This window comes from Homo sapiens, chromosome 6 (genome assembly GCF_000001405.40).
Source record: "Homo sapiens chromosome 6, GRCh38.p14 Primary Assembly".
NCBI classification, from domain to species: Eukaryota; Metazoa; Chordata; class Mammalia; order Primates; family Hominidae; genus Homo; species Homo sapiens.
Window position 1 is genome coordinate 54,135,343 of NC_000006.12, and position 10,401 is coordinate 54,145,743.

Below are 10,401 nucleotides of genomic sequence, written 5' to 3' on the forward strand. Positions count from 1 at the left end.
CTTCCGTGTTGCAAAGATACAAATTCACATATAAAAGAAAAGAATATTTTGGGTATGTTTACTTAGAAACTTGGAAGTTTGGGATGAGTGTTTGAATTTGCCAGTTTTAAATATTTTTAGAGATTAAAACTATATGACATGAAAACCTCTGCATTAGGTCTGATGGAAATCTTAAAATGTTATAAGCAAAATCAAGAAATATCTTTTACTTTATTTGTAAAGTTTTGCTAAGTTTGATTGTTATGTTTATATACATTTTCCTGCTATGTGCTTAATGAATATCTATATGTAAATCTTAATATTTATTGATATTTTGAATGATTGATATTCCCTAAATTCTTTATTAGACATGCATGTTTATTATTTCTTTTATATATTGACATAATCAAATCAATGACTTTTAAGGGAAAGTTCTGTTTAAAAGGTGTTCAAAGTATTTATAACTTCAGTGCTTATCTTAAAGTACTAGATGATTTTTAAAATGGCACAAGACTACCTACATCCAGTTGTTTCACAGGCTCTCCCTAGCTTCTCTTGTAAAATGATGAATTGTTCTTTATTTCCTCTTTATTTGGTTTCTTTATTTCCTCTTTATTTGGATTGGTGGGTTTCCTTGTTTCAGGTGGATTGTATTTGTAAAGTGTTCGGGCTTCTTTTGACACAAAAGAGAGCCTATTTCTTCCAGCATGACCCAAATCATTTGTTAAATGTTCATTATATGTTCATGTTAAATGTTCATTCTGGCAAATAATTAGGAAAAATAAGCTAAAACTTCCTGTTTAATTTGGACTTTGCTTTCACTCTCTCAATTTATCATTCTGTGTTGACATTGGGTGTTTCATCATTTGAATTCCAGGCACTTTTCCAAGTTCACAGCATGTAGGAGTTAAGTAGTAGAAACTCTCAGAATTTTAAACACTTGAAGTGTGTTAAAGTTTTTTTAAGACTTGTAGTCGTTATTATAATATCATCCTTTATATTCTTACAATAGAAGAAAATAATTTTCCAAAGTGAAATTTGCAATTTATACTGATGGTGATTTAAATCTTTCCAAATCACACAATTCAAAATTAAGATAACTATTTTAGATGCTGTCAACGAATTATCTTCCAACTATGCAATACAATTTTACATTGATTTCATTCTGTGGGATAAATGAGGTATAGGATGTAATGCTTCACAGCTTATTTGTATCTTATTTCGAATTCAGAGCAAGGCCTCATTAGCAAAATAGAATTTCCTTCATTTTTGTGGAGGTTTAAGATGCCTCCTTTTGTGTAAATTGTTTGTATAATCGCACAAGTGACAAGAATATTTTGATCGTTTCACAAATAATGTCCTATTTCAATCTGTCTATTTCTCTTTCCTCTAGTTAACTTCTTCTCCCACTACCTCTGAGCAGCTTGCCTGTAAACCACCTGCTTTCTCCTTTGTTTCTCCAACTAATCCGAACACACCACCCGACCCAGTTAACCTCGAGGGAGCCTCTGTCCTAGAGGAGTTCCACACTAGGAGGCTGGATGTCGGTGGGGCCGTGGTGGAAGAATCAGCTACGTATTTTCAAACTACCGCTCACTCTACACCCTTTTCTGCATCGAAGGGCACCTCCTCGACGTTACTGTTTCCCCATTCCACTCAACTATCAGGTTCTAATTTACCCAGTTCAACTGCAGCAGATCCAAAGCCTGGACTGACCTCTGAAGTTCTCAAGAAGACAACTTTAACCTCGCATGTCCTTAGTCACGGAGAAAGTCCGAGAACCTCTTCTTCTCCACCGTCCTCCAGTGCTTCTCTGAAGTCGAATTCGGCCTCGTACATACCAGTCCGCATTGTCACGCATTCACTCTCTCCGAGCCCCAAACCATTTACCTCCTCTTTCCACGGCTCTTCTTCCACCATCTGCAGCCAAATGTCATCTAGTGGAAATCTTTCAAAGTCAGGGGTAAAATCCCCGGTGCCTTCCCGGCTTGCCCTTCTCACTGCCATTCTCAAGTCAAACCCTTCCCACCAAAGACCCTTTTCCCCTGCATCCTGTCCCACCTTCTCTCTCAACTCCCCGGCCTCTTCCACGCTCACACTTGACCAAAAAGAAAAGCAGACCCCACCCACGCCTAAAAAATCTCTCTCAAGTTGTTCCCTGAGAGCCGGGTCACCAGATCAAGGGGAACTCCAGGTTTCTGAATTGACCCAGCAATCTTTTCACCTGCCTGTTTTCACCAAGTCTACTCCGCTTTCTCAGGCGCCCTCCCTCTCTCCTACAAAACAGGCTAGTAGCAGCCTTGCTTCCATGAATGTAGAGAGAACACCATCACCTACTTTGAAGAGCAATACCATGCTCTCCCTGCTACAAACCAGTACATCCAGTTCTGTGGGTCTTCCTCCTGTTCCACCAAGCTCTTCTCTTTCCTCTTTGAAGAGTAAACAGGATGGTGACCTCAGGGGTCCAGAAAACCCCAGAAACATTCACACGTACCCTTCTACATTAGCCTCCTCTGCATTATCTTCTCTATCTCCTCCTATTAATCAAAGAGCTACGTTCTCTTCTTCAGAGAAATGTTTCCATCCTTCCCCAGCTCTTTCAAGCCTGATAAACAGATCTAAAAGAGCATCATCCCAACTATCTGGCCAGGAGCTGAATCCTTCAGCTCTTCCTTCACTCCCTGTCTCCAGTGCTGACTTTGCCTCTCTTCCCAACTTGAGGTCCTCCTCTCTCCCTCATGCCAATCTGCCCACCCTGGTGCCCCAGCTCAGTCCCTCAGCTCTGCACCCACATTGCGGCAGTGGTACCTTGCCTTCAAGACTTGGGAAATCTGAAAGCACCACCCCCAACCACAGGTCACCTGTTTCAACCCCATCACTTCCCATATCTCTAACAAGGACAGAGGAGCTGATTTCACCTTGTGCATTGTCCATGTCAACAGGCCCAGAAAATAAGAAATCAAAGGTATTTTTTGCATGTTGCATGGTGCATGCTTATTTTGAAACAGGGAAGAATCTTTTTTTTTTCCCCAAGGCAGAAATCAATAATTATAGTATTAATTGTACTCCTACAAGGAGGAAGAAAAAGTGCAAGACGGTACCAGGACTTGGTATATTTGAATGTGTAAATGAATTATAATCTGTATAGAATTATGTGTTTCAGTCAAATCCTTTGATTTTGAAAATCCTCTTTCTCTTCCTAACTTCTTATATCTATGACTCCAAGGGTATTATTTTTCCTCAGACATAATATGAGTTATATCATTGGCCCTAATGACAGAATTAAAAGCAAGTAGTAGAGATTCAGGACTATGATATGTTTCTGATTGTTTATTAACAGGGACCCTAGCATCCATCCAAATATCCTGTACTGATGGAATAGTAGACAGGATTAATATAAAATGGAATATTATCTTAGATCTAGGCCTGTGACATAGCCAAGCACGTTCTCGTAGCAGAAAGCAACTCTACACTAAGGCATGCTGGCTTCCCAACTATTCTCAAGTAATTCAGATTGTGGATCACCCATACCCAGAATTTGATAGCTGTTATATCAATAAAACAAAACAGTTAAAGTGCCTGCATAAGAAGGGGTGGTGATTTTCAGCTCAGCACATTGAAATAATGTAGTTTTAGAGCTTTGAAATACCATGGAGAGTATGTTTCACTGTCACTTTTCAGATGATGAATGTCACGTTGAAGGGATAAAGTGACCCTCATTATCTTGTAAATGATGTCACAAAACAATTCAAGTCAAAAACATGCATTAAATACCTGCTATATGTGTACCACTATACTAGCTTTCTTTAGAGTGTGTGTGGTTTCTTTTAAAGGGAAGTAAGAGATTTTTTTTGTCTTAGAATAATTCAATTTTAATCAGTAGAAAAAAATATACACAATTTGGAGAGGCTATATACAGTTATTAAATCTACAGTACAGCTAGAAAACCAATATAAGGCAAAATTAATTGTGTAAGTCAGATTATAAATAATCATCAACTGAGTTCAATATAACAGGAGTAATGTGATGGAACATGGTTAGTAAGGGAAGTTATAAAAAATGTCAGGCCTGTCGGAAATATTTAGGATTTAACTTAATGAAGAGGAAAGAAGTTGGCATTTCAGAAATGGAAAACAATCTGACCAAATATACAGAAGATGATCTCAGAAGTCTGTGTGTGGAGACATAAGACGATTAGCCTTATAATCTGACGGTAATAATAGCAGCAATATCAAATGCTTTCTGTGAGTCAGGAACTATGCTAGTATACAAAATAGTTGAAAAATTAATTAAAATGGATTACATCAGTTAAGTTTTGTAACTATATGAAGTTGATAATACTATTTTCCCTATTTTGTACACCAAAAAACTGAAGTTCAGTGAATAATTGTCCAGGTAATGGGTCTGTTTCGGAGCTGACATTTATGTAATGTTAAGTCTGTTGATTCTTGAAGCCATGTTCTTTATTACTATCATTTATTGCTACAAAGAAATAACTCATGTTAGCAATTTAGCCTGACTTTACAATTCTCATGAAGAAAATCATTATTAAGGAATTATAACCAGAATTCCCAATTTATATAATTTTGGGGTCATTTAAAAAATGTATTGGAGATTAAGTCCTTGTATTTTAAACATTCAAAGAAAATGAGATGGATAAAATTTAACTTTTTCTGTGATTCTCAATTGACAATCCTACTTATTTGAGGTAAATTGACCTGTTTATTATATTTTAAATACATATATGTGATTATAAAATTTATTTGTAGAGTATTTAAAACGAACTCACAATCTAATCATTACTGTTTCCTGAGTGCATTAACTATCATTTTTTGAACCATGATGCCATATACTTATTCTTTTTTTGTGAAAAGTGATTTCACTCTAGAAGCTTTTTCAAAGCATTTCTATGTGTGTTTCACCACACTTTATGTTTTCTCCTGTTTTGGATATAGTCAGAGAGTTGGAAGAGGGTGAGCCCCAAAGGGCTTTTGATACATTAAAGGCATATTTATTGAAGACCTATTGTTTTGGGGCTCTCTTCCTGCACCCAACATTGAAAAATTTTCAGCATTTGCTTTTTACTTTTTAAAGAATTTCCAAGTAAAGAAAATTCAAAGAAATGCAAAGTAAATTTGATGAACAGGAAAATAAGAATGATTATAATTTAACTACCAGTAAAAATATCAATAGATTTCTTTGAACAGAAAAAAAAGCTTCTTATCATGGGTAAAATTTATAATAGCTTCTGCAAAAATAGAATAGTATGGACTATGAGACAATGCTATTCTTTTTCATGTTTATTTTCTCCTTGCATCTTGCTATATTATCTCTTTAGGTAAAAATCAGAAAGTCAGCCTACTTTTTTTTATTACAATCTATTATTTTCAGAAATCGTATCTTGAGTATAAAAAACTTATTAAAATGGATGTGGAATAGATAAATCTTATCCCAAGCTCTTTTGATGTTTGGCTAGTGTTTAAATTGGTAACATTATTTTACAGAATGATAGGAAGAAATAGACAAATGCTGTGTGATATTGAAGAATTTATATGCTTTCATGGGTTGTTTCTTGTCTTGCTCCTTCCAGTGTGATGCTAAGCTGAGCACAGGACTCTTTTTGAAATCAAAGAGCTTTAGATTTAGGTCAGCTTTACTCACTCTGAGATTCTGAAATAACAGGGATCATAGAATACAGATGGCATCTAATTAAAACATGAGTGCTTGGAGGATATTAGTTTAAAGTCTGGGCTCTACTGTCCTTTGATATTAAAATAAAATGGATCAACCATAGTATGCTGAGCTAAATTCAGATATAAAGTGTGTTTGATGTTCCTTTTTCATACATAAAATCTTAAGGTTCTGAATCTGCTTGCATTTGTGTGATATAATTGCTATGATATGTTAAATTCAGATGTAGTTTAAAATACTATTTCACATTATAATCATTGCTTTAGATAGGATGGGCATCTGAATGCTGCTCAGCCTGCCTTTTTTTTTTTTTGAGACACGTCCCACTGTGTCGCCCAGGCTGCAGTGTAGTGGTGTGATCTTGGCTCACTGCAACCTCTGCCTCCTGGGTTCAAATGATTCTCCTGCCTCAGCCTCCCAAGTAGCTGGGATTACAGGTGTGCACCATAACATCCGGCTAATTTTTGTATTTTTAGTAGAGACGGGGTTTCACCATGTTGGCCAGGCTGGTCTTGAACTTTTGACCACAAGTGATCCGCCTGCCTCGGCATCCCAAAGTGCTGGGATTACAGGCGTGAGCCACCATGCCTGGCCTACTTTTTGATCAACATCTATATTGTCTGAGACTTTTTTTTCCCATGCAAAAGACTGGATATTACAAAATTCACCCATGGAGTTGTGTCTGGGTCCCCAATCTGTTCTGCCTTCATTTATAAAAGAATTTAAATTTTTATCCTAGTGAATTAGTATGGTGGTCCATATGGAAATTAGGGTAAGCATTTCATCAAAGCCTCGTAGAGTCTGCCACTTACCGAAGACAGTCTGAAGATTAGTTCCAATTATAAAGACTCTCCATTCATGGGCCTGCCCTGGGCTTAAAGCTATTTGGACACATAGCTTATTTAGGGAACAAGTTGAGAGCTATTTTATATTTCATAAAACTTTATAACTGGTGTTTTATTCACAAAAGTCTCCTTCCTTTAAGACATCAAAACATTCCCAAATACATCACACTGAAAACTTAGTGGCAGCAGTCTATCTGTGACTTTCTTCATTTCTGCAGAACCACATGTAATTTGGAAAATGAGCAATATGGAATGTGTCTGCCTGAGATAAAATAGTTAATCTGGGTTCAAGCAAATCAGTCATTCAATAAATATGTATTGATTACCTAATAGGTGTGCTTTTCAAAGCTGTGAGGATATTGCAATAAATAAAATATGCAATGATGCCTGTTCAAAGACAGTTTATATTCTTTGGTGGAAGAGAAACAATCAATAATAACCCCTCCAAATAAGTAAATTATTGTGTGTGTCAGAAGGTCATATGTGTCATAGAGAAAAGTATATCCCTGATTCTCAAGGGAAATAGAGAAGGGATGGTGTCACAAGTTATGTTGGGGTATTGGGATAGGTTTCTTTGAGAATGTAACATCCAAGGAGGTGATACTCCTTAAGAGAGTATAGTGAGGAAGATGCTCTGAGGCCAGAGAGTGCTTGACAGGTACAAAGAACACATTCTGGGCTAGCAGTGAGGAACAGGATGTTGAGGTTGTCAGAGGGAGATGTAGCTGGGAGCCGGATCCTGTAGGAGGGTCTTGTGGGCCACTCTTTAGTCTTTGATTTTTACTTTAAGTAAGACAGGAAGTCTTTGGAGGGTTTCAAATAGATAAGTGACCATCTTAACTATCTCACTGCTAAATAAGAATAGACCATGAGAGGGTGAAAGTTTAAGCTGGGAGAACTTAGAAGTCTATTGCTACCATCTAGGTGAGTGATGATGGTGGCTATGGTCAAGTTATAGCAGTGAAGGTGAAGATAAGATTTCCATTATGTTTTGTAGGCAGAGTAACAAACATTCACCAAACATCAGAGCCACTACGTGAAATGAAAAAAACAACAACAACAAAAAAAAAACGCTGAAACTAGCCTTATGTGCTTTCTTATTTTGTTTTTCTCTTTTTATCTCACTGTCATTTACTCCACTCCCTTCACAAAGTTCTTGAGAATCCTTGACTTTCCAGGCTTCTTTCAGCTATGCTATCTGTCACTCGGCCTCTATACTGACCAGTTCTGTGTACCACTCCTGTGCTTCTCTCCAGCTAGCCTCTCTGAATTGATCCTAGTAACGGTTCGCACTCAGGTGTTCAATGATTGACAAAAGCTTGTCTTCCTCTCTAACCCCGCACTCCCTGGGGGGATTTGCTTTTTTTTTTTTTTTTTGAGGTGTAGTTTCGCTCTTGGCGTCCAGGCTGGAGTGCAATGGCGCAATCTCGGCTCACTGCAACCTCTGCCTCCCAGGTTCAATTGATTCTCCTGCCTCAGCTGGGATTACAGTCACCTGCCACCACACCCAGCTAAGTTTTGTATTTTTAGTAGAGACGGGGTTTCACCACATTGGCCAGGCTGGTCTTGAACTCCTGACCTCAGGTGATCCGCCTGCCTTGGCCCCCCAAACTGTTAGAATTATAGGCATGAACCACCACACTGGCCAGGATTTGCATTTTAATTGAGGGGAGTGTGCAGTTTAACTCAAACAAGAGAATTGTCAAAGGAAAAAACAGGGATCAAGATAATGCAGCAAATGTTACAGGTTTACGTCATGAAGAAAAATGACTTCAAAAATCTGTATTAGAAATGTTCTCAGGGCATGCTTGGAGTGGTGGAAGGAGGTCTTTAATTAGCCAGGCTTGTCTAGGACTTGAACCATAGACGAAGAACTAAAAATTTGTGTTTTTTCATGTCCTTGAATCTTATTGTAATTTTCAATTAGATATTTCAAGTCAACAAATATTTGCTGAACATCTTTTCTCTGCCAGGTTTGTATTAGGTGTTGAAAATAAATGAACAAATAATATAAAATCTCTCCTCTAAAAGATCTAGCAGGCAGATAGGGATGGCAAAATATTATAATAAAATGAAACAAAATTATGCATTTAAGGTGTTAGAGGAATGAAAAGATAAATGAGGGATGCAGTGGGGTCCTGGGAAGGGACCTGTCCTGGGAGGTTTTCTCAGTTGCTACCTCGCCCATCTGCTTTGCCAGGCAGTTTTTGACAGTTGTATCCTCCACCTCTAGCTTTTCCATTATCAGGATCATTATAGATTGTGCTCTGCCAGTAATCCAGATATAAGGAAGTGTCTGGGCAATCCCTATGAACGGGATCAGGGCTTGGTTGAGCTTTCATCTCAGGACTGATGTCAGGGAGATTCTGACTCAGGTAAGACAGACGTGATCACCGAGGAGCAGAAAGTGTACATGTAGAGTGATGCTCTCATCTCTGCCCAGGAATGCTTCTGGAAGAAGTTGGACATGGTGGTAGTGAGGCCCTTCACCATGGTTTCCTCATCCTATTGTTTATATAACCCAAGTTTCTTGCATTTACTGCACCGGTCCCCAACCTTTTTGGCACCAGGGACCAGTTTTATGGAAGACAGTTTTTCCATGGATTGAGGGTTTGGGGATGGTTTTGGGATGAAACTGTTCCACCTCAGATCATCAAGCATTAGATTCTTATAAGGGACACACAACCTAGATCCTTTGCCTGTGCAGTCACAATAGGGTTTGCACTCCTATGAGAATCTAATGCTGCTGCTGATCTGGTAGGAGGCAGAGCTTAGGCAGTCATACACGCTCACCTGCTGTTCACTTCTTGCTGTTTGGCCCAATTCCTAACAGGTACCAGTTTATGGTCTGGGGGTTAGGGGCCCCTGATTTACCACACTTAAAGTGTAACTGTGAGTCCAAACCCCTGATCCTCAAAGCAACTAACATAGTTCACTTTGTGACCTCATGGATCTTTATTACTAGAGCCTGTGGTGAAATTTTAGACATCAGCAACAGGATATATGACTTTAGTGGAAAATATTTTCTGAAGGGGCAGAATGTGTTCTTGCTATCCTTACCTTCAAACCCAGAATTTATATTGCAGCTGGCAACTAGCATTGCCCATAAACAGGATTAGCTCTGGTAAACATAAGTAATAAAATGCCATTTTGTTTTCCAAACCTAAACTTTGACCTGCACCATGCAGAGGATATTTAAGAAATATTTTTTAAATGTTTACTGAAAGCATAGATTACAAATTGGAGAGAACCAATAGGTATTATTGCCTTGTTTGCCAGATTCAGGTTTAGGCCAATCATTTTTACCTCCTATGATTAGCTAATGTTTACTCTAACCCTGTAATTCCACATTAGAATGATTAGTAATTTTAAGCCAAAGAGGAAAATAAATGAATTTGGTTTAGCACCTGGAAGCCTTGAAATGCTTAAGAGGAGGTGTGTTTCAAATTAGAATAAAAAATTCATATTTAGATCGAGTACATATTGTTAAGAGAACCCAGAGGAAAAACAGTGGACTCAAAATGTGTCTTTTTTTGGGCAATAAATAGGATTTTTATACTGAAAAGGAAAGGGTATGTATGTCTTAGAGGAGTAGTGCATGTCATGTAGTAGGTACTCAATAAATATTTCTTGGCCAGGCATGGTGGCTCACGCCTGTAATCCCAGCACTTTGGGAGGCTAAGGCAGGAGGAGGCCTTAAACCTAAGAATTCAAGACAAGCCTGGACACCATGGTAAGAACCCATCTCTACAAAAAAAATAAAAAAAAATTAGCTGGGTATGCTGCCACATGCCTGTATTACCAGATGCTCTGGAGGCTGAGGTGGAAGAATTGCTTGAGCTCAGGAGTTAGAGGCTGTAGTGAGTTGTGATCGCACCATGGCTCT

The 10,401-nt window shown here is 38.2% G+C and overlaps 1 protein-coding gene across 18 annotated transcripts in view; it reads left to right on the forward strand.

The window, feature by feature from the left end:
• MLIP (muscular LMNA interacting protein) overlaps positions 1-10,401 on the forward strand; it is a 247,311-nt gene that overhangs the window by 116,373 nt on the left and 120,537 nt on the right. For 10 of the 18 annotated variants that reach the window (XM_047419509.1, XM_005249476.6, XM_005249478.6 and 7 more), the window contains one exon: positions 1,373-2,944. The exons of the other annotated variants lie outside the window; for them this stretch is intronic. In XM_047419509.1, coding sequence (XP_047275465.1) covers positions 1,373-2,944 — 1,572 coding nt within the window. The remainder of the gene's footprint in view (positions 1-1,372; positions 2,945-10,401) is intronic. 18 annotated transcript variants of the gene reach the window in all.